Below are 24,828 nucleotides of genomic sequence, written 5' to 3'. Positions count from 1 at the left end.
TTATTGAAGGCCCTGTGGACAGCTGGGGTAGCCCAGTGGTACCCAAGGGCCCAGTCAAAAGTGGACAAAGCATGTGTTTGGATGGACCTGGGAGATCCTGCTCAGAGATTCTGAGAGGACAACGGTAAAGGAAGGGCCAGAGTGGCTGGAGAGATGGTCACAGTCTATGGGCTGCACAGGATGGAGGAGGCCAGGTAACAGGCAGGGTGGGCAGTTGGGGTTCAGGGAGAGGCAGGTGCATGCTGGGAGGTCAGACCCTGTTAGGGCTGTGGGGGCATCAGGTGAGGTGGGCTCCAGGTGCACTCTCAGTGCACTGGGTAGGTCTCACCCCAGGCTCCCTGGACCCCAGCCAGGTGATGTGGTCACTCCCTGGGGGACTACTGTCAGGCCCTGGCCAACCACCCTGGGCAGTGTTGTCCCATCTCAGGATTGGACTTTCTCAGTTCCTGCAGAGGGCACAGCCTCCAGCCCAGGAGGGGCAGCACCATGGTGCAGCCCGAGCTCTCCATGGGCCTGGAGCATCCCCTGCCAGCCCTGCACTCCCTCTTCTCCCAGGTCCCACTTTTCCAGTATCAGCCAGCTGGTAGGCCCCCTCCTCCCTTCCCTATGTGTCTCCTGGGTGGAAACTAGTGGCGGATTGGGACAGGGATGGTGCTTCCCTCAGGCCCACTTAGGGAGGGGACTGGCTCCCAGCCTGGTGCAGGTCCTCAGCTCTGCCTTTGTTGCCTCAGAGTGAGAAGGATCAGTTAGTGCCCTGAAGGTGAAGGTAAGAGATTGTCCTTGCTGTGTGGGAGGCTGTTCTAGGGATGGAGGACTTGGCAGGTTCTCCCAGTCTGTCAGGCCTGGACAGCACTGTCCTGTCTCAGGACTCAGAAAGTCCAGTCCTGGGATGGGACGGTGCTTCCCAGGGTGGGTGGCCAGGGTCTGACAGTAGTACCCCAGGGAGTGACCACATCACCCAGCCATGGTCCAGAGGGCCTGGACTGAGACCTGCTGAGTGCACTGAGGGTGCACCTGGAATCCACTCCACCTGACATCCCCGCAGCCCTCACAGGGCCTGACCTCCCAGCATGCACCTGCCTCTGCCTGCACCCCAGCTGTCCACTCTGCCTGTTCCCTGACTTCCTCCATTCTGTCCAGTAGGATGAGCTGGTCTTGGGGGACAGCCTATGTGCACATTTGGTGGCAAGTAGAAGTGACACACCATCCCTGGGAGTCACCATAGTTCCTGCCAAACCCAGCCCCAGAACTCTGCCCCTGAGGTGGTTTTACTAAATCCCAAACCCAGAACTGTGGTTGTGGCTCAGGGGTCAGCACCTGCTAGTGCCAGGACACTATTGGGAGGCTGGGACCTGACCAAAACCCATGGTGCCTGTGGCCTGAGGACAGTGTGTCTTGGGGCCATAAGGCCAGGCCAACAATGGCCATTGTGTCATAGGGGCTCAGCCCCAGTGTTTATCCTTCCCTGGCTACTTCTGATTCAGTCCCATCAGGGCCCTGGAGCCCAAGACCCAGCATCCAAGGTCCCCTCCAGGAATCCTGGTGGCTCAGCTTACTTTATTGTGTTTCATCTGACAACAAAAATGTCAGATTGGATGCACAGAAAAATGACTGGAAGTGCTTAATGACTAGAAGAAATCTAGGAGCAGCAAGAAGGTAATGTGGAGAGGGCAGGAACTCCATGACTGATATCTGCAGAGCCAGGGGTACAGGCACCCAGTGCTGTGTCCTGGCACCACCTGTCTCTCTGAGGTTGAGTAGCACACTGTCCTTACCCAGAGGACAGCAGACCTGGTCACCAGGTTTCGGCCTGTCCCTGCAAGCATCACATTGCTGGAAGAGAATCTCATGCCAGAGCTGGCACCATCCCTAGCTCAGGGGTTAGGGGTTGTCTCTTGGTGACCTAAATGAAAAAATAGGTCTAGATCAGATTTCCCGACGCTGAGCACTCATCCACTCTTTGAATCGTGGGAGGGGAGTCCCGGTCCTCGGCTGCTCCTCAAGGGAGACCCCTTTCAGGTATGGGGCTGGGCAAGGTCAATCCTGCTGGATATCTAGAAGGTGTAAACCAAGGACCTAGGAAAATACCAGGTACAGACTTTCCACGCTCATCCAGAGCAGGACAAACAGGCCAGGCGATGTCAGGAGACCAGGTCTCCAGCTGGAGGGAACGTCAACCCTGCAGTGGGAGCAAGGGCCCATTGCACATCCTAGGCACAGATGGTAACGTAGGCACCACAGGTAAGCTGGGCTTAGTACCCCTTCCTGGCTTCAGAAAGAAGCCAAACAAGGAGCTTTCTGCAGAATGAAACCTCCTTTCCTTCCAGAAGCACTGCTGACTGGTGCTTGTTGTTTGTGGCAGTGAGCCCTTTGTTCATTCTGCGGTTGGGCTGCTTTCTCCTCTGGGCCCTGCCCTGCAGATCAGAAAGGAGAACAGTAAGAGGTCCCCAGCAAACATCCAGAGATGGCCCTGGAGATAAGTCACCTTCTGAGAAACACGTCATATTCTAGGAGGGCTAAGGCATTAAGTAAGTCTTATGGGGTTGGAGGATCCCAGGGCAGGTGTGGCAATCCATAGCCATGGGGGCTTCCCACGGGAATTGGGAGGTCCCAAGGCAGAGTCAGGGGTTCCACAGGAGGAGTCACAGAGCCACCAAGGGCTCTCCTGGCCCAGGAAGCAGTCAATACCATGGACTGAACACCTGCTGGCTCCAAGCCCTGGTCCAGGATGGGGCATGTGGGGCCTGGAGGGAGCTCAGAGTGGGAGGCAGAGAGAAGTGTGCTCAGAGGGCACCCATTTCTGCATGTAACGTGGTCCTGAGATTTTTGCTGGGAAGGGTTTCCAGGGTTTCATATGTGTTATGGAGCTACTTCCTCTCCCCAGCCTCACCCTGCAGGAATCCAGTGACTATATTGCCGCCAGTGTACCCATTCCTGAGGGGTGATGCTTCTACAAGGCCTGTGACTTGGTGCACAACTTCAGACACCATCATCCTGAGCAAGTGGGCTTCTCCGGGATCTTAATTCAGGAGGTAGAATGCAGCTTGAGATCAACTGTCCGATCAAAGAACTTGAACTTGATCTGGAGTGCTTTGGGGAGCCATGGAAGGTGCTGGATAAAGGAGGGGCCAGTCAGATACGTGTTAGAGATGACTGTAGAAGGCTGACTGGAATGAGTGAACAAGAGCAGACCAGGGAGGGAGCTTGTGGGGGAGGTCTGGAGATGGCAAGGGAGGGATCCTGCTTGGATGAACAGTCTCCAGAGACTGTCTCAGGTTACAATCAGGTGCCCTCAGAGCTAGTGTGTTCAGAGGTCTTGTCTCCAGGATGAAAATGGGAAGGAGTTGTCAGATGAGGACGTGTAAATGGAGGCTGGCCTGTTCATGAATGCCAGTGGTGGTCCTGGTGTGGGGCTACTATGAGAACAGGGGTCTCTCCATCCAGGGACATGGTGGATGGACCCTACATCACTCCATTCTGCCCTTTCCTTCCCTCCTCCCATTCTACCGAGGGCCTCACTGCGTTGGCACTCTCCATCCTCTGGTACTGAAGCAGCCAAGAGACACAAACCTGCCTGGCCACCTTTAGAATATGACAGCACAGCCAGTGGCCTCTACTGGATCCTGTACAACCTCACAAGACCCCCAGACACCAGGAGTGCTGCTAGAACATGGTGCAAGAGTCCTGAGGGACCACAGTCCTGAAGACATTGAATGGTGAGTGCAGGGCCTCATGGCCTGTTCTCCAGCCCTTCTCATTGGCTCTGCTCCAGGTGGTGAAGGGGGAAAATGTTTTTGTCAATTCTGCCATGATTGCCTAGCAGGAAAAGTAGCAGAGCCCAGAAGCAAGGCCTGGTACCCAGCCTGCATAATGAGGAAAATTTGTAGGCTTTGTGGACAGAAACATATCTATCACCCACTAACTCTGTAAGACATTAATAAAATCAGTTTTCTTTTCTGAACTACATTTCTGCCACCTGTAAATTGAGGGGAATTTCTTCTACCTCACAAAGCTGCTTGGGGAATGCCTGACAGTGAATGTAGAGCAGGTGGCACCCAGCCAGCATTTGGTGTCCAGACCACTCCTCTTCCCCCTTGATTTTCTGCCTATATTTGCATTTTGTTCCTAAGACCTTCACTCCCCTTTATTTTGCTCTTCCCTCTGATTCCCACCTTATCATCGATCCCATGGATTCACCAGGATTGAAGCAGGTAACAGTCATGTATGCATGTATGTGTATGTACATATGCCCTGTATTGGTGTTGGAGTGTGGGGTGTGTGTGTGTGTGTGTTGGAGTCACTGAGTGACTGAAACAGTCCACACCAGCCTGTGTTCCTGCTCATTGCTGGAGGTGTTGTCAGCTCCCCTGCCCTCAACCCAAGGTCTAACCCTTGCAGTGCAGGCAGGGCGTTCAGGAGGAATCATGTCTTTGGAAGGAGCCCTGAGGAGTGACTGGTGGGTATTGGTGGATAAATATCCCAGCTCCCTTGCTTTTGGTGGGATGACTCTGAGATACATGTTCTGTGCTGTCTCTCAGAAGTACCTGGCAGGGCTGAGTCTTGGCTGCCACAGTGGAAACTTTCCTGATGAAGGTCCCTTTAACTGCTGCATTCCTTTCCTGTCTCAGTTCCCCACTCCTCTTCTGGTGTTTCCTGGGATTACCACCCTAAGGAAGAACTGGCAGTAGAATTACTGTCCGAGAGTCATCTCCAAACAAAATTTTTGTATCTGAATCTTTTCCTCTGGATCTACTTCCAGGAAACTCAAACTAAGACACACATTTTTCAGTCAGCTCCTACAATCCTCATAGACCTGTGATTGTGCTGAGGATCAGAGAGGGAAAGTCACTTGCCCAAAGTCACACAGCTGAACAGTGGTGGAGTTCAACTTTGACCATAGGCTGTCTGGTCCCAAGGTGGATGCTTGCTCCTCTGGCATGAGACTTCTCTCTTATCAGGGTCAAATGAATGAATGGAGGCTGTTAAAAATTTGGTCTCTGATGCCTGTGCCAGAGGCTCATGGTTGGTGCCTGTGTTCTCATTCTTACCTCATTAAGAGTAATAATGAAAAACATGCTCAGGGCTGACTGTGCCTCGGGGTGTTGTTGTAGGTACTTTGCTTACTTTAATTCATTTAATTTTCACAATAACCTTGTTTTTACTTTTAGTTTTTAGGTGAAAAAAACTGGGGCAAAGAGCAATACAAGAGAGTTGCCGAAATTCGTTCTGCTTGTCCAGGTTTGAAGCAAGCAGTCTGCACCTAGTGTCCTTGTCTGTAACCATGGCACCCTGGTTTCTCACACATCTCATAATGGAGTTCCACCTTGTGTCAAGCATGGCACTGAGCAGTTTATTTTAAGAACATAATTTGTAATTATGTAGATTACTAATTCTACTTCAAAATGACACACAGTCTTCATGTGATAAAAGGAAACAATTGGTAAGTGTAAGCATTGAGAACAAACATTCTTTTTTCCGCTCCCGACTCCATTCCAACGTTCAGACAGTGTTTTCTCTGTGCCTGTAGAACCTCAGCTCCTGTGCCGAGGAGCCTGGTCCCTTTGGCAAAGCAGTGTGGCAGTCAGGTGCTGGCAGGAAACTCTCATCAGCTGACGGGCCATTAAGAAGGAGCTGTTTACAACGGCGTGGGCAGGATCAGGGGGAACGAGGAGGGATGGCACAAGGCCCTGGGGTTAGGGTCATCTGGGAACTGTCACCACCCCCCAGTCTTGTGGAGCCATAGAGAAGCTTTCTCAGGAACTCATAGGGAGAATCTGCAGCTGAAAGGGGACGCCAGAGGAGACATCACTCTCTTGCCCTTTGACTGCGTCTGGATGCCCCTACTGACCAACACTACCATCCCCTTATTAGACTGGAGAGGCTGCCGGGAGGGTTTCTAAGCCTCCTATTGTGGCTCACCTCCAACAGTGAGTCAGCACCGGCTCTCCTGGCCCGACAGCCCAGGTTCCCCTTAGCCGCTCTATCCTGCATGGTCCCCTTTCCCGCTGGGAAGCAGATACCCAAATGAGCAGCAGAACCCTGTCTCTCCCAGCAGGCCCCTCTGCTCTTTATGAGTGGTTTTCTGGGTCCCCTCCCTTGGTTTGGGATGAGAAACACCCTTTTCAATTCCACAGGGATTGTTTCTGTGGACTGTACCCTGAGTGTTTCCCTGGTGGGGTAATGGGCAGGTGGGAGTGGTGGTACCGACTCTTTAGAACCAGCAATGCCAAACAGATCCCACTCGGGGAAAGTTCATGCTAAGTGTCATGTGTCCTCTGGAATTTTCTGAAGCTTTCCAGCTTTTTTATTACCCCCCTAACCAGCTCATCTGATTTCCAGGGATCTCTACTAAGATGTTGGCAGCCCGGCCAGCTGGTCTGGCCATGGATGTGACTTCAGGGGCTGGTTATGCTTCATGCACCTGCTTCTAGCTTCACTGTTGGGCCAGATTTCATCCCCACCCCAGCTCTGCAGCGCAGCTGCTTCTTGATTCCTCCATGGACCCTGCGTGAAATTACCCCATGTTTCCCTTTGTGCACCACTGAGGAAGGAAGCATGAAGGACACACAGGTCAGGACATTCAATTGCCCACCTGGTGCTGGGTCTTTACTGCTGGGATGGCTCCAGGGGCTGGTCCTTCTCCATTGCCTCCTCCACATCTTTCAGGTTTCTGCTCAAAAGTCACCTCTTCGAGGGGTCTCTCCCTTTCACTGTGTTTGGAACAGCTTCCTCAGTTTGTTTCTAGTTCTTCTCACTCTGGTAATGTCTTTGATTACCACCACCATCTGATTTGGTCTTATGACCTGTTAGCTTCCTTCATCAGACATGAACACTAGGATGGCAGGGGCCTCATCTGTCCTGTTCGTCCTGTGGCCTGGGTCCTGGCACCATGTCTACTACTACAGTGTAAATGCTAAGGGGAAGTTTACTTTGAAGAACTGTTTACCTGGGAGATGTTACTGTTAGCCTAACCTGTACCATTTTGTAAACCCCCAGCCATTTTGCAGACCCTGGTCACAGTGAAACATTCCATGGGAACTCGGGCTGTGAGAAACATCCTTCCTAACCACATGACTGCAGGAACATCCTTATCGCATCCTCCCAGGCAAAGGTCCAACAGCCTGACTGCAGGGACATCCTTGCCGTTTCCTGCTGGGCAGCAAGCTCTACCACCCAGACCCCTCCCTCCCATCCCATGATTACCTCAGCCTGTGAGCGGCAGTTGGCGCTGGCACTAAGCTGGTTCACCCCTCCTCAGGGTTTTGTTGGCAATAAAAGTGTTGCTGTTGAAGCCGCCAACTGTCTCTCTCTGTCTTTCTTTAACCCTCGCCTTGCCTTCAAAACGTAACAACTCTACCCCTCCATTTTTCCAAGGAGGATATGGGACTCAAGGAGAGCAAGAGACTTACCCAGTGAGTCAGAGAGCCTGAATTTGAACTCAGGTCAGCTGAATTCAGAACTTGTTTATTCCTAAGAGTCCAGGAAAGGAAAGGTGGAACTGCAGCCTGTGGGCAGTCTGCATGCTTGTCTTAGGAGACCACAGGTGGGCTCCTGGGAATTGTGTCTTCCTGGGCACAAAAGAAGAACTGCTCACCTGTGCTGCATCAGCTAAGTGTCCCCATTGTCCAAATTGTTATTTCTTTTCAAAGTTTTGTTTTAATAATTAAATTTATCACAGCTTGGTGTTGAAAACAAAGCACAGAGGCATATAGAAACTCATGTGTGAGTTTTTCTCAATTTTTTTCCCAGTGACTATATAAATGAGTGTGCAAAAGACCACCAATACGGTCATACTTTTTATATAGAGATGAGACCATCCCATCCATATTCCTTTCCCACTATGCTGTCTTTCTTTCTTTTTTTTTTTTTTTTTTTTCATGGGAGGACCACTATTCCATTTCTAGTCCATGTGCTTTGGGAAGGGCTGACCTACCCTCGGCAATCAGATCAGCAGGGTAATTCATTCAGGGATGGGCATGTGATCCAAGCTGGGCTCATGGAAGCCATCCCTGCACTTTTGATGAAACGGCCTTGAATAGGGTGCTTTCTTTTTATTGGAATAGCTACTTGCAAGGAAGTAAGTGATAAGAAATATATGGGGCCATTTTTGCTGCTCTCTCAAAATAGCCTCTCTGAAAAGCAGAGCTGGCCCAGGAAATGAAGGGACGGAATGAGTCTTGGTTGAAATTAGCTGACCCCTGATCCCACTGAGCCAGAAGCCATCTACTCCTGGATATTTTTAGTTGTGATAGACAAATAATTCAATGTTCTGCTGGATCGGGTTAGGTTAAGTGAGTCAAGGACTCACTTGAAGTCAAGAGAGTTCTGCATAATATCACTTTCTCTTATGCTTAGGTCCCACCTGCCAGAGCTTTAGAGCTGTAGAAAGGGTAAAGTGAACCAGGTTCCTAGCTAAGTGTGCAAAAGAACCCTGGAATCACTACCACTTTGGTCTGATAAGCAGCCTTGCCTGATGCTTACCATACAGTCATAAAGGTATTGCTTCCCTGAGCCCTTAGGCATTATATCTTTCTAAAAATAATTTCTATCTTAGAAAATGTGTTGTAGAGATGGTGTCTTGCTATGTTGCCCAGGCTTGTCTTGAACTCCTGGCCTAAAGTGGTGAGATTATAGGCATGAGCCACTGTGCTTGGCCAGCACTATACTTCTATTAGTTGCCAATGCTTTCTTTGTTCTGTAGTTTCTAGTGTGTGCTTGAGCATGTGCGTATATGTGTGAGTTTGTGTGTGTGTGTTTTTACTTTACTTTTATCTTGCAGGGTTACGGCAAGCATCAAGTGGGATGATGTAGGCACAGCTGTCAGCCCAGTGCCTGGCACATACAGTGAGCTCCCTCTGTTCTCCTCTTTTCTCCTGCTGATTCAGAGAATGACTTAAGGATCTGTGATGTGTGCCAATTTTCAATGCCCTGGATAAACAATGGGGAGTTGGAGTGCTGTTGCCAGAAATTTGCGCTAGTTTTAATTAATTTTATCCATTTAGTGTAAGACATCTCAAAGTCACTGGATAAATTTATATAACATATGTTTATACACATAAGTGTGTCTCTTGAGAGCTGAGAGGCTGTTTTTGCTTTGTTCCCTGATGCTGCAGTAGAGGCCAATGTGTTCTGATTCCTTGAGTGATGGCTGCAAGCCCTCCAAGTGTCACAGTAGGTGAGGCATCCATGGGGACAAGCATCAAGGATGAATGTGGCCAGTCAGAATCTGCAAGCCCATTTGGTTTGTTCTCTTTATTTTTATAGTATGTTTTATTCATTTTTTAGGTTTATCATTTAATCTCTTATAAACATCTCTCCTAAAATGTTTCTTAATTCTACAAGGGGTTAATTGCATGAAGTAAGTCCAGAAATAGTCCAGGGCAGCCATGGATACCCAACATGCCATTGGGAAGTGAGAAATTTTGTAATTTGAAGGTTTTGTTATTGGGACCTTCAGTCCAATGGTCTTCAAGGTGCTAAACCCGACTCAGGGCATTTCATCCTATTTCCAGAGAGCAGCAAGCATAGAGAGCAAGGGGAACTTGGTTAAGAGAAAAGAGGAACAATAACTGTCCCATTTCCAAACAGATTTTCTGAATCTGAGTTCTAATTGAGGGATAAGACAATGATAATGGCATGGCAGCAATTGTTCACATTTACAGTGCTTCAGTCCTATACTGTGCTCATTAATGCCCAATAAGTGAGGAGTTGGAACTGAAAGCTTTCTTTATTTATTCCAATTGTAGTCTCCCTCCAGGGTGTGGAATCATGTGTAACAGGAGGGATACGTGTTTAAAGAGGTCTTTTCTTCATTTTTTACTTCCAGAAGAAGTCTCTGCAGTGTGACTTCTTGTATGAACTATGAGTCTGAGGTAATAATGAGTCTTTTTTTTATCATATTCCTTACTTTCATAGTTTTGCTCCAGTGTGAGAACAAATATCTACTCAAGGTGAATGAATATGAAAGGCTTTCCATAGACTTTACTTTCACAGGGTTTCTTTTCACACTTCTGTAAGATATGAGAGTTCCAGAAAGGTGTTCTCATGAATGTTAACTCGTTGAGCTCCCTTCCAGTATGTCCTCCTTACATGTTCAGTATGGTGAAAAAATTAATGATGATTTTCCCACCTTTCATTCACAGGGCTTCTCACTATTGTATCTCTTAAGATGATAGCTTTTAATTCCAATGACTTTGCAAAGTCTTTTCCACATCTGTCACATTTATAGGATTTCTTTCCAGCACGACTCCTTATATGTGCATGTCTTGAGGCTCGCTGAAGTCTTTCCCACATTCCTTAAATTCAAAAGGCTTCTCCATAATGTTCTTTCTTAAATGTTTATTAAGGTGTAGGGAATATCTAAAGGCTTTCCCACTTTAGTTATATTCGTAAGGTTTCTTTCCAGTGTGAATTTTCATATGTCTCATGAGAAATGACTGATAAGTAAAGGCTTTCCCACATTTGGGACATGTATGGCTTTTCTCTCCAGTAGTACTACTCCTGTGTGAAGTAGAGTTTGGAGCAGGGGCAGAGGTTTTTCCACTTTGATGATTCTTATTCTTACTCTCTACAGTACAGGACTGCATCTGCGCAGTGTGGATTGAGTTATTTGCAAAGATGTTTTCACTTTGAGTAAAATTATATGTTTTCTCCCTAACATGAGTTATGAGGGCCCTAAGGCATACATCCTCACTGCAGTCTATTCCAAATGGACTCCACTCATGAATGTTTGCCCTCATATTAATTTGACTTTGCATATGATGGACATTGTTCTGACTGCCTGTCCATGTGTTTGATTTTAGCTCTGTTTTTCTCCCATATAAAACCTAGTGAATATTGCACCTCAAGACTATCATTGTTTTCATATATATTACCTTATTTCAATAGTTTTTGGGAAACAGGTGGTTTCTGGTTACATGGAAAAGTTATTTAGTGGTAATTTCTGAGATTTTGGTTTACCCATTACTCGAGTCATGTACACTGTACCCAATGTGTAGTCTTTTATTCCTCACCCCCACAACCTTCCCTCCAAGTCCCCAAAGTCCATTATATCATTCTTATGCTTTACAGCCTCATAGCTTAGCTCCCACTTATAAGCGAGAATGCACAATATTTGTTTTTTTGTATTCCTGAGTTACTTCACTTAGAATAATCATCTCTAACTCCATCTAGGTTGCTGCAAATGCCATTATTTGGTTCCTTTTTAGGGCTCAGTAGTATTCCATGCTGTATACATACCACATTTTCTTTGTCCACTCATTGGCTGATAGACACTTAACCTGGTTCCATATTTTTACAACCGCAAATTGTGCTGCTATAAATGTGTGTACAAGCATCTTTTTCATATGACTTCTTTCCCTTTAGGTAGATACCCAGGAGCAGGCTAACACAAATTTAAATTGAGATAATTATAAAATAAAGTAATGATCAAGTGAAAATTACTATTTCTAGTAGTAAAAGAAAATACATTTAAGGAGTAAAATTTGAACATATTTCTGCTCACATAAAGACCATATCACTTCCGTATTTTGTGTAAATGGTATGTTTTATCTCACTAGACTCATTCTGTGGTTAATTTGTGAGGAAGGGTTGGAGAAAATAATGTATCTTTAAATTTAGTTTCTCGATTCACATTTTTCTTCAAGTTTCAATAGCTCTCTTTTAGGAAAATGCCTCCAAGAAGATGTTCAGATGCTTTTGGCTTTCTGTGGCCTGAAGACAAAGGAGAAGTGAGTCTCAAGTCTCTTATTGTCTTCATGCTGTTCTCTAGACCTCTGCTTTCTCTGTGGCAGAGGGTCTTTCTGGATTAAACTTAAGATTATACTTAGCAAAGGAGGTAAAAGGTAAAAATATCCCTTTTATTTTTTAATAGAGGGTCTTGCTCTCTCACTCAGGATGGAGTGCACTGTTGTGGTCATAGCTTAATGTAGCTTTGAACTCCTGAGCTCAAGTAACCCTCCCACCTCAGCCTCCAGAGTAGCTAGGACTATAGGCATAGGCTACCATGCCTGGCTGTTTTTTTATTTTTATTTTTTGAAGAAATGGAGTCTTGCATTTTTGCCCAGGCTGGTCCTGAACTCCTGGACTCAAGCCATCTTCCAGTCTCGGCTTCCCAAAGTGCTGGGATTACAGGCATGAGCGGCTGTGCCTCGCCAGGATTAAAAATATTCTTTACACTTCTTGATGGGTAGCAATATATATACATAGGAAAATACTGAATAGTCAAAAATTTGTCTCCAATGAGAAGCCTGCCCTCTATCCCTGCTGAGCACAGCCACCAAAGTGTGGCCTCTCCAGAGATGGCCACTGGAATCGGGGACCTGTGTGTCTTTCCAGAACATTCTGATTACAGACAGGGCATATTTATGGATTTCCTTCAATCTTCCACACACAAAAAAAGATGTATCTCTATACTCTTCTACAAACTTGTGCTCTTTGCTGAACAGTATACATCTTGGAAATTGTTCCAGATCAGCAAATACAGGATTTGTCCTTGTGGGCACTCCAGAATATTCCTCTCAGTCTCCCAAGAATGGACACTTATCTTGACTTGAATCTATTGCTGCTGCAGTGAATACACATGATCCACGTATCTGTGGGGAGAGGACATGTAACAGGGTCTGTGTCTAAAATACCAACAGCTCCTACTGAAGAAGTTTTTACTAATGTGTGTTTTTGCCAAGAATATGAGAGAATGCTTGTTGGTCTATATCAGCAGGAACATGTCAGGCACACCCCAGACTTTTGACCTTCGCCAGCCGGATAGGTGAGAAATCTTATTGCAGTTGTAGGTTCCATTTCTTACTACAAGTGATGTTGCACAGCTTCTCATATGGTAAAAAGCAGTTTGTGTGGCCTTTTATATAAACTGTTTACTTAAAGTTAAATCACTAGTCAGACAGATAACATTTTCATTTTGTGATTTGGAAAATGAATTTTCATATTGCTTACTACATCCTTCATGTGCATTTCAGAAGTAGATGGAGGTTTCCCTTAGGTACGTATGACTCATTTGCAAGCAAGCATTTATTTTGGGTCTTGATGTTTTTCAGAATAATGGGCAGTTATGGTATTGTCCTGAATTGTTTTGATGTTTGTACCTACAACGTTGACTGCAGCACACTCTTGCAGGGCACTGGGAGGGGTGTCCCCCACCCACCAGTGTCTCTGTGGGCTTGTGAGGAGGGCCAGTTCTCCTCTGAGGCCCATGCCATAGCCAGCCCTGACATGCTCTTGTTTGCTCACAGATGGGAGACTTTAATTGCATCTTTCCCGTGGAATGATGGAGCCAATGGGAACTCCAGGGCTTCCCCACTTCATCTATAAGCAGGCACAGCTGGTGCCAGGCCCTTAGGCTTCCTGGTCACAGAGCATTAGCTGTCTGGGGCTATTGAGATGTGCCTGGCAAAGCACTTTGCCTGAGAGCTGAGTAACCAGGGCTCGTGAAGGATAAGTGACTTACCTCCACAGTTCAGGTGGCTCTGCTCCATATGTGATTCCCATCGGTCATGCTTGGGGTTTTCTTTGAGCAAATATATTCTAGAAATGCAGTTAAGAAGTGAATTCCCGGAGAAGCTAGTCAAAGCCAGCACCTCAGCACAGACTCCATGGCTGCATGCAAAGAGGCCTGCAAGAAGGCAGCTCTGGGACTTGAGTCACACATTTGGGCTGCTCCTCTAGATGGGATTCTGTGGCCCCTGTAACAGAAGTTATAGCCCTGATGGGTCATGGGGAACCCTGGGTAATTAGTGACAGGGTACTTAGGGTTGGCCAAGGGCCCTGAAACAGGCTGTGCTGCGGTGGCACCCAGGCCTGGCTTGTCCTTAGGAACAGTTTCTGACTCAGTAGGTGCCAGTGGGGATTGAGGTTCTGATTTTCTTTTTCTTTTTTTTCCCTTGAGACAGGGTCTCACCCTATCTCCCAGACTGGAGTGCAGTAGAGCAATCATAGCTACTGCAGCCTCGAACACCAAGGCTTAAGCGAGGAAATCCTCGAACCTCCTGCCTCAGCCTCCTGAGTAGCTGGGATTACAGGCATGTGCTACCATTCTTGGCTAATTTTTGTACTTTTTATAGATACAGGGTCTTACTGTGTTACCCAGGCTGGCTTCAAACTCCTAGGCTCAAAAAACAAGGATATCACCTCAGCATCCCAAAGCACTAAGATTACAGGCAAGAGCCACCGCACCTGGCCCACATTTTCAGACCAGAAATCTCTATGGGTTGTCAGCTCCTGGGCTGGTCCCTCTCCTCCTGGCTGCTGGGTGGACCTGGTGCTTTTGCCTCTACACATCCCTTTCTTGCTGTTTCATCCTCACAAGTTCCTGTGGAGTAGGTGGTTCCTTGTCCCCTTTCTGGATGAAGGAAGGCACTGAGTTACCTGCCCCAAGGCTGCTGAGGGGAGAGGCACATGGTGTCAGGGCTTGCCCTCTACCTCAGACCTTGGCCACATCCCTCTAGAGTGAGTGACATTGGCTTACAGGGTCATCACCCACTTGTTTTGTGGATTTCGTGACAAATTGAGAAGTTTAAGCAGCACAGGCTCTTTAAGCAGCACAGGGTGGACCTCACTTCCTCTCCCAGCAGCAGGGCATTTTCCAGATTCCTGGAGCAGTGTCCCCGGGGCAGACATGGAGGGTCCCAGCTAGCTTCTGTTCCCTCTGGCTGCCCTTCCTGCTGAAGAGAAGCACAGGGAAGGTGCAAATGAAGGCATCATGGCTAGGGAAGAAGAAACTTTGGGTGACATGGGGGCACAGCCCAGCTGGACAGAGGCTGCCCAGCCCCTCCAACCTCTCTTTAAAGACAGGAAGGGGCTGAGCTGGGGTCCACTCAGCTCATGCTCCTGGAGGTGTGGACATGGTACACTTGGGAAGAGAGAAGAGATGTCAACATTCTTTCCACGCAGATTCTCTGTTTTCTGTGGAGTTTCGTGCTTTCTCAGCTACTCCCTGCCAGAAATGAAAGCTAGGGTCATGGTCCACCAGCCCAGCAGAAAAAAATGATGATGGTGGTGAGGATGATGATGGTAATGGTAGTGATTGTGATGGTAATGATGATGGTGGTGATGGTGATAGTGATGATGATGGCAATGATGACAGTGATAATGGTGATGGTAATAATGATTGTGATAGTGATGATAGTAGTGGAGATGGTGATAGTGATGATGATGGTGATGGTGATGATGGTGATACAAATGGTTATGGTGATGATGGTGATAGAAATGGCGATGGTGATGTTGGTGGTGATGATGGCAGTGATGGTGATGATGATGATGGTGATTATGATGGTGATAGTGATTGATGATGGTAATGGTGATGATGATAGTGATGATGGTGATGGTGATGATGATGGTGGCAGTGATGGTGATGACGATGGTGATGGTGATGATAACTATGACAAGTAGTAAACTATCCTTACAGGCACCAGCTATGTACCAGGCACAGTAGTAGGCATGGTACATACAACTCCTCCAGTATTTTAGTCGTTGATCTTCTACTGGATATGATGATCCACTCTCTGCAGAGAAGGAGTCTGAGACTCACTGAAGTTGTGTACATCTTGTTGTCACACAGTTGTTGGTGGCAATCACAGCCCAGGGTTTCTGCGTGCACTGGGTGTCACAGGCTTCAGGTGATGCCCCATGTGTTGTGCTGGGAGGCCTTTTTTGCCATCCTGTTAGCCCCTTAACACTTGGCCTCTTCCCCTCTCTCCACAGGTTCCTTGTGAGACACCTGGGGGACTCCAAACACCAGGAATCCATCTGCCTGCTGGTCCGGAGACAGGGATCCTCAGCCTCCTTCCAGGGTTGATGGCTCAGGAGGCCTTCTCTGCAGGGGACCAGGACACAGGAAAGCCAGGAAGAGATGAGCAGGGAAGGGAGCTGTTGGGGGCCATTCTGGTTTTAAAAATAAAGCAGGACTTTTGTTGCTTGTTATAAAAGGAACACATGCTCATTTTCTGTGATTTAGGAAAGCACAGAAAAGTATAACGGAAAGAAGAACGTGGCCGCTGCCTAGTACCATGGAAAAAAGGGCTGTAGTTTTTAGTGTCTGCCTAGACTGTAAAGTTCTAAACTCGAAAACTTGTACAACTCATTGTTGAATGGCTGTGTAATACTCCATCACATGAGCACATCATTTCCTGGTTACCTGACCCTTACTGGCTAGAGATGTGTGGTGTTCCTAATTTTTGCTATTTTAAATAACCATGGGAGGAACCACATTAACATAAATCTTTGGGTGCCTTTGTGCTTTTTGCCTTAAAATAGATTTGCCAATGTGGAATTACTGGCCTGAAGGGTGCAAATCTTTTTAAAGCTTTTGATACATACTGCTGGGCTATAGGAAACACCTTCCCAACTTAGTCCCCTGACTACAAGGGAAAGAGTGCCTGCCCTGCAGCCCCACCTGCATTGTGGATTTGTATTATTAAAAGATAAGCCTTGCCAGAGGGACATTTCTAGCTTGAATGTGTGCCTGACACCAATGTGAGCTCCAACAGTGTGCCTTGAACCCAGTGCCAGATGCTGCAGAGGGCTGCAAAGTAAGGCAAAGGCTCTGTGTGTCTGCCTCACCTCTGGTAATGAAAGAGGCCACTTCCTTTTTTGTTATTTCTCCTATATATATATATTTTTTTTTTTTTTTGAGATGGAGTTTCACTCTTGTCACCCAGGCTGGAATGCTATGGCTCAATCTCAACTTACTACATCCTCCACCTCCTGGGTTCAAGCGATTCTCCTGCCTCAGCCTCCCAAGTAGCTGGGATTACAGGCATGTGCCACCACACCTGGCTGATTTTGTATTTTTAATAGAGATGGGGTTTCGCCATGTTGGCCAGGCTGTTCTCGAACTCCTGACTTCAGGTGATCCGCCCGCCTCGGCCTCTCAAAGTGCTGGGATTACGGGTGTGAGCCACCGCACCCAGCCAATTTTTTTTAATGTCAAAATCAGGTTCAAAAATTATGGTTTACATTAAACAGATGTTCTTAACAACAATAGAAGAAACCAGGAATATAATCCAGTTGTAATCAGGAGATCATTTCTAGACTTGGCCTTGTCTGGATGGTGGCATGGTTGGAGGGTTTCTGAGCCAGGGGCCAGGGCCAGGTGTCAGTCATCCCTGGCTGGGCTTCTGTGCTGGATCCTCCAGACCCTCTGAAGGTAGCACCCAGCCCACTCAAGGTCCCATGGGGGGCAGTGCCCTGTGGCCCGCAACAGGGCTACAGCTCCATGAGCAGGGATGTCACTGGCATGCTTGGGCTCATAATTCCATGTCACCCATGAGAAAGACACTGTGTCCTGTCTGCAGAGCGGGGATTCCTGTGGGAAGAGCTCAGGAGAGCCACTAGCCCTCTGGGGCCACCCTTGCCTGAGGATCTTATGCAGCCAGACCAGAACCTGGGAGAGAGTGCAGGTTTGGCGGGGAGCGGGCTGACTTCCTAGAGAGCAGACAGGCTTCTTAGAGATCCTCAGAGACAATTGTGGAGCCTCTGGAAGTGTCTGAATTCTACGCTCCCCACCCCCGACCCCTTTCTGTTTTCTTTTTCTTGACCATTTCCTTTGGTGTCTGTATTAGTTAGGGTTCTCTAGAGGGACAGAACAAATAGAAGATATATATATATATGAGTTTATTAAGTATTAAATCACATGATCATAAAGTTCCGCAATAGGCCATCTGCCAGCTGAGATGCAAGGAAAGCCACCCACAGCCCACAAGCACGTGGACATCTGGAATTGCCCACTCTGCATTAGTGAGGAGGTGAGGTTGGTTTTGTGTTAATGGGAAGTGTGTGCCCGATTTTGTCTCTGAAATAAGAACTTATCCACTAATATGGCCTTGGGATGCTGTAACTGTTTTGGTGTTACCTAGTCTCCTTCAGATTCTCAGTGTCTTATGCTCCTAGCTTTAGTGCAAGGAAAATGTTTTCCATTTTTCTGTAGCTATTATTATTCTCTTATTTTTTTCATTTTGCCAACTTTCCAAGTAATTTCTTAGGGGGCATTTAGAGAGTCTTAATTCTGATACAATAAAATACATGCCCAGTGTCAGCAAACAGCCCCTCCTGTGAGGACAGAATGGCCCCAATGAAGCTCAGTGTGCTGGAGCATGCACAGTCGGGGCCCTGAATCCCAGCAGCAGCCCCAGGAGTTAGGTGCTGTCTCCTCAACATATAACCACAGCTAGTGACAGAACCAAGCTGAAAGCCCTGAGACTTAGTTTCACCTGCCAAGTGGCCACTGTCACGGTTGGTGGCACAGGCAGTGGGGGTTGGAGCAGTGATGCAGATGTAGGATCAGTGCCAGCAGGGGATCTGGTCTGGATCCCTGTGGAGGGTCCACTTCCTTCAGCTTTGGTGGGGGAGGAGGGGCAGCCCGGTTGTCACCCCCCAGTGGGCAGGACCCGGATGCAGCCCCTGCCTCTGGCCTTGTCACCCAGGTGGTGGTGGGGTGCTGAGGCCTTTGGTTCTCTGAGCTTATTTGGGCAGCAGAAGGACCCTCCCACTGTGACCATTTCTCTTTTCTCTCAGTCTCTTGGGGTCTCCTGCACAAAGCAGCAAATGACTGACAGGTGGCTGTCCTGGTCAAGGTGAGGCCTGTCACCTGTGCCACCCAGTTCATCCTCCCAGTGGGTGTCCCAGGGGTGGGTGGTGCTGGAAGCAGGAAGCCCCCAAGGGGCCCCTGCTTGTGTAAGTGTATTGGCTGTGCCAGGGCAGGGCATCCTGCAACAGACACTGGCCCAGAGCCTGGAGCCACACAAGCGGGCACTGCATGGAGGGCGGGGCCAGGTGTGAGGACCAGATCCCCACCTGACCTTCCTGTGCTGAGTCACTGGCTCACCATGGCTGTTGGCACCTTGTCCCTGCTACATCAGAGGGAGAGGTGAGGCCTGGGATGCCAGAGGGATGGAGTTTGAGGAGACTAGGACTTCCTTGCACTCACAGGCACAGCTGGGGCCTCATGAAGTTTGGGCTTGGGGTCCAGACAGGGCACAGCCAGCCTGTCCATATGCTGAGCCTGAGGTCATGCTGAGGTGTGTTCCTTAGCTCGGTTGGCAGAATAACAGCCCCTGAATGCACTCATGTCCTAATCCTGCAACTTTAAGTTGCATGGCAAGAGAGGAGGAAGGGAAGCTGTGGATGGAGTTGGGGCTGTTCACCCAGCTGTGAATGGGGAGGCTGCCCTGCATGTCTGCACAGCTGCAGTGTCCTCACAGTGGTCCTTAGGAGGGGAGGAGGGCAGGAGGAGGGTTGAGTCAGGGTGATGTTTGTGAGAGCTCGGCTGGCCATCACTGGCTTTGAACATGGAAGGGGCCAGGAGCCAGGGAGTGCAGGTGGCCTCTAGGAACTGGAGGAGTTGGAGACAGATTCTCCCTAGAGCTTCCAGAGGGAGCTGCCCTTGCCCACACCTTGATTTTAGCCCATTGAGACCCATTTGGACTTCCAAACTCCAGCCTGGAGAGCGAATCCTTCAGGTGGGCTCCTGTCCAAAGGCCCTGTGAGGATCCTGGTGACTCCAGCCCCTCACCCCAAGTCTTGTCCCAAGAACAGGCATGTTTCAGGGAGTGCTGGCCCTGCTAACTGAGCACTGAGTCTGTCTGTTCTACTCTGAGTTTGGTGGTCTGACCTCTGACCTTCTGCCTGAGGGTCAGCACCAACCCATAAAGGCCTGGCAGGTAGGGGTGTGTGATGAGCCATGTGTGTGTGAGGCCCTGCTGAGATGGTGCAGAACCAGGTCAGCGTGGTGTAGGTCATCCTGTGGCTTCATCTGCTCCAGATGCTGCAGTGAGAGCACAGCCTGGAGCAGCCTGGGGGCCAGGTGAGGGTGTGGACATGGGGCATGGCTGTGACTATGGATGTGGGCATGGACATGGAGCGTGGATGTGGCTGTGGATGTGGATTTGGGGTCTCACATGGATGTGGGGTCTGACATATGGTGTGGATTCTGGGTCTAATTTCTGGGCTGCAAGAGCTCAACTGGCTCCCCTCCAGGGCAATGTAGTATAATATGTGTCTTTGAAATGAATAATGATGGTGCTGAAGGGACTGTCCTCAGCTCCCAGCTCATCCAGCCCCACAAAAGTCTTTGCATGTGACTGAAACTTGGTGTCACTGATGAGAACCTGAGGTATACATGGCACTGTGGTCAGTGCATGTGACATTTTCCAGCCCTGTCCTGTCCTCCTCTTTGCTGAGCTCTTCTTCACATGCCATAGTGCTGTGCCCTGGTCCAGTTCCTGGCTTTGGGCCTTTACTTCCATTAGGAAGACACCTTTAGTATAAACTTCATGAAGGAAGAATATTAACACTTTGTCATATTCGATGTAAATATTTTTCATAGCGTGCATTTTAAAGTTTGTTTTGGTGTTTTGGAGCATGATTTTCATCCATCAATGTTCTTGCTGACTTTCCTTCCAATTTTTGTTTGTTTCTTTATAAAGAAAGTCACTTTGCACCCTGAGAGCAGAGCAGACAAGTATTCCCTCACGTTGTGCTTTCTATGGCTTTTTTTTTTTTTTTTTAATTTTTTGGCGGAGTCTCACTCTGTCGCCCAGCCTGGAGTGCAGTGGTGCGATCTCAGCTCGCTGCAACTTCCACCTCCCTGGTTCAAGTAGTTCTCCTGCCTCAGCCTCCCGAATAGCTGGGATTACAGACGTGTGTCACCACGCCTGGCTAATTTTTTGTACTTTTAGTAGAGACAGGGTTTCAGCGTGTTAGTCAGGATGGTCTTGATCTCCTGACCTCATGATCCACCCACCTCAGCCTCCCAAAGTGCTGGGATTACAGGCATGAGCCACTGTGCCCAGCCAATGGCCTTTCTTTTACATTTGACTCTTTGGACTGCATGGACTTTATTTTAGCTTGTATTCTAAGATAGAGTGAATTTCATATTTTCAAAAACAATTTGCCAAGATCTTTTTCTGGGCTTCATGCTCTGTTGTCAGAACTCAGGACTGTGGTGGCTGTAGAAGAGAAGACTCGTCTAGGGCCCAAGACCATGGTGGCCTGAGGGTTAGTCTCATACATTGGGCACTAATAAAAACAGCTCACGCTGTCTAACAAGTGTTTTCTCTGGGCCAGGCCCACCCATCTCTTTGCCTGGCTTCAGTTGCATGTGTAAATGTCCCAAGGGCAAGGGCAGTACTATCCCCAGTGAATGAATAAGGAGACTATTCTGTGTATGGGCAGGCACTTAACCTCTCATACCTCAATTTCCCTATTCTGGTAAATAAGGCTAATAATAAGAATTCCCATTATTTCAGGGTTGTTGGAAAACAATGCTATTAGAGTTCTTGGCATGCTGCCTGTCTCAGAGTGAGTGCTCAGGCAGAGTTAGTGATGATGGAGTTTGTGATGGTGGTGATGGTGGCGATGATGATGATAGTAAGGAGGATGATGATGGTGGTGATAGTGATGATAATGATGGTGATGGGTGTGATGACAATGATGGTGTGGCCATGTTGGTGATAATGGTGCTGGTGGTGATGATAGTGGTTGAGATGATGGTGATAATGCTGGCATGGTGGTGTTGGTGGTGATGGTGGTGGTGATGATGACAGTGGTTGAGATGATGATGACAATAATGGTGTAGCAATGTTGGTGATGGTGCAACCTCCGCCTCCTGGGTACAAGCAGTTCTCCTGTCTCACCTCACCTGGTGATGGTGATGATAATGATGATAGTGGTGGCGGTAATGATGATGATGGCGGTTGAGGTGGTGATGATAATGATAGTGTGGCAATGTTGGTGATGGTGATGATGATGATGGTGGTGGTGATGATAGTGGTTGAGGAGTTGATAATGATGGTGTGGCAATGTTGGCGATGGTGATGTTGGTGAAGGCCATGGTGATGATGTCACTCTCAAAAGGGCAAGTTCTTTTTTTTTCTCTTTTATTGAGTTAAAATTTACATAGCATAATATTAATCATTTTAAAGTTAACAATTCAGTGGTACTTAATAAAGTCACAATGCTATGCAACCATTGCCTCTATCTAGCTTCAAAATATTTTAATTTCCAAAGGAAACTCCATACCCACTAAACTGTAACTCCTCATTCCTCTTGCCTCCCACTGTCTGGCACCACTAGTCAGCTTTCTGTCTCTTTGGATAGACCTATTATAAATATATTATCATTTCACATGAGTGGAATCATACAGCATTAGTCCTTATGTGTCATGCTTCTCTCATTTAGCATAATGCCTTCAAGATTCATCCACATCGTAGGATGTAAGAGGACCTCATTCCTTTTGAAGGCTGAATAATATTCCATTGTATATACAGACTACATTTTGTTTATTCATTCACTATGAGTTACACGTGTAAGCTCAGCACTTTGTGAGGCTGAGGTAGGAGGATTCCTTGAACCCAGGAGTTCAAACCACACTGGGCATCATAGTGAGAACACCCATCGCTACAAAAAAAAAAAATTAAAATTAACCTGGCAATGTGACATGAACCTGTAGTCTCAGCTATTCCAGAGGCTGAGGTGAGATGATTGTTTAAGCCTGGGAGAGCAAGGCTGCAGTGAGCCATGGTCGCACCAGAGCACCCCAGCCTGGATGACAGAGAACCTGTCTCAAAAAGTAAAAAGGATAAAATCTAAAAAGAAATGTATTAAATCAAGACATGTAGACATAGTAAATAATAGAGAACCCCCTCTCCACAAAAGCCTTGTATATATAGTCAAAATGATCTTCAACAAGGGTGCAAAGGCCAAACTATGGAGAGGGAATAGCCCCCTTTAACAAAAAACGGTATGAAGACTTGCTATCAACATGTAAAATATAGAAGTCAGAATTGTAGTTTATACTACATTTTTTTAAAAACTCAAAATGTGTAAGTCTGAAAGCCTTACACAAAAATATAAGGGAAAAATATCCAAAATTATGCCATGGAATTTGGCAATGGGTTCTTGACTGCCAGCAGCCCCACATCCCTGGAGCATCCATCCGCTCACCGCTGCCTGGTGCTGAGTCCTTCCACACCTGTCACACTGCTTTCTGCGGGGCTCTGAGCGGCACGAGCCAGGACACCACGCGGAGCACAGGGCACAGGCTGGGCTTTATCGGGCTATTCGAGGGCAGGCTGTCCCCATGACCGCCTCAGGCGCTGGAGGGAGGACGGCCTGATCTGAGTCTGCAGAAGGAGGAAGAAGCTCGTTCCCTGAGCCGGCAGGGACACAGACGCGGATGCGGGACACAGGGACACAGGGGTGGATGCCATAACAATATATGGCATATATTTTGAAACATGGCCGCAATTTGAACAATTAGAATATCTAAAAACTCCAAAGATTGTTATGCTGAAACTGCACCAAAATTTATCATTCCAGTGACTACACGGAATTTTTAATAGTTGTTATTTTTATAATACAATTAAACTTTAATGAAATAACTGACTTTCAAACTTCAGCAAGAAGACAAATATTCAGCCAGAGGTATCAGTTCCCTGTTTCTGCTCCGGGTCCTCTCTGGTCTCCCACAGACCCTCCCGTATCACCCAGGTCTAAGGGGCCACTGGCCTGGCCTGCGTCCCTTCGTCCCTCCCCTTCCCCACCCAGCTCCTGCAGCGCCCTCCTGGGGCAGGGGCGGCGAACCGTCCAGAGCGGGAGGCTCCCTCACCCAGGGCAGCACAGCTCCGCCCCTCTCCGCACCTGCCCAGCCCCTGGCAAAGGAGTCGCCTGGGCCTGGCCCGCTGCCTGCCCCCCATACCTGCCCTGTGCCTGAAACGGCGACGCTGCCAACAAGAGGTGCCAGAGACCGGGGCGCAACCCGCCCAGAGCGCAGGGTCCCACTCACCTGGGAGCAGGGGCACGTCCCTCCCGGTAGGCGATGAAATTAAGATTGTTTCCTTATTTATTTTACTTAAAACTGGTAGAATGTTACTATTATATGAAGTACCCATGACTCTGTCAGTAAATTTGAGCAAACGTTTATTAGTTTTTGTCAGTTTAACTAGTTCTTTTGTGTCTATTATTAAGGTGAAATTTAACTTCTATCTGAAATCAGTAAGATACAGAGAGATTTTAATGACAAGTGAATATTTTTTTCTCAGGGGGAACTGAATTATGAATTGAATGAATGAATTATGAATTAAATGAATGAATTCATTACCAAGGTAGAGAGGACACTAACCAATCGATAGTTTTAATCAATCTGTATTCCCTCCCTCCTCCCTCTTTGTTTTTTTGTTTGTTTCTTTCTTTTTTTGTTTCTTTCTTTCTTTGTTTTTGAGACATAGTTTTGCTCCATCGCACAGGCTGCAGTGATGTGGCGCGATCTTGGCTCACTACAACCTCCGCCCCCCGGGTTCAAGCGACTTTCCGCCTCAGAACCCCGAGTAGCTGGGATTACAGGCGCCAGCCACCATGCCCAGTTAATTTTTGTGTTTTCATTAGAGGCGGGGTTTCACCACGTTGGCCAGGCTGGTCTCAAACTCCTGCCCTCGGGTGATCTGCTCACCTTGGCCTCCCAAAGTGTTGGGATTACAGGAGTGAGCCACCAGTCCCGGCCCCTCCCGCCCCTCTGTATTATGACCATGTGTACCCAGCATTTAGCTCCCACTTATGAGAGAGAACATGCGGTATTTTGTTTTTTGCTTTTGCATTAGTTTGCTGGAAACAATGCATCCATGTTGCTTCAAATGCCATAAATTTGAGTTTTTTATGGCTGTATAGTATTCCATGAGTCTTTATCCAGACCACAACTGATAGACGCCTGGGTTAAGTCTATGTCTTTGTGATTGTGAATACTGCTGTGATAAAAATATGGCTACATGTGTCCTTTTGGTAGGATATTTATTTTCTTTCGGGTATATACCCAGTAATGGGGTT

At 47.7% G+C, this 24,828-nt stretch overlaps 1 pseudogene across 1 annotated transcript in view; it reads left to right on the top strand.

Annotated features, from left to right (window-relative positions):
* LOC112268265 (ankyrin repeat domain-containing protein 26-like) overlaps positions 1-7,296 on the top strand; it is a 54,588-nt pseudogene extending 47,292 nt beyond the window's left edge. The window contains exons 6-8 of the transcript XR_007067756.1: positions 1,975-2,019; positions 2,117-6,570; positions 6,997-7,296. The product of XR_007067756.1 is annotated as an ankyrin repeat domain-containing protein 26-like (transcript). The remainder of the gene's footprint in view (positions 1-1,974; positions 2,020-2,116; positions 6,571-6,996) is intronic.
* The last annotated feature ends 17,532 nt before the right edge of the window (positions 7,297-24,828 follow it).

Source organism: Homo sapiens, chromosome 20, assembly GCF_000001405.40.
Source record: "Homo sapiens chromosome 20, GRCh38.p14 Primary Assembly".
Lineage (NCBI taxonomy): Eukaryota > Metazoa > Chordata > Mammalia > Primates > Hominidae > Homo > Homo sapiens.
Note: the sequence above shows the minus strand (reverse complement) of the source record. Positions and strands in the feature narration are given on the sequence as shown.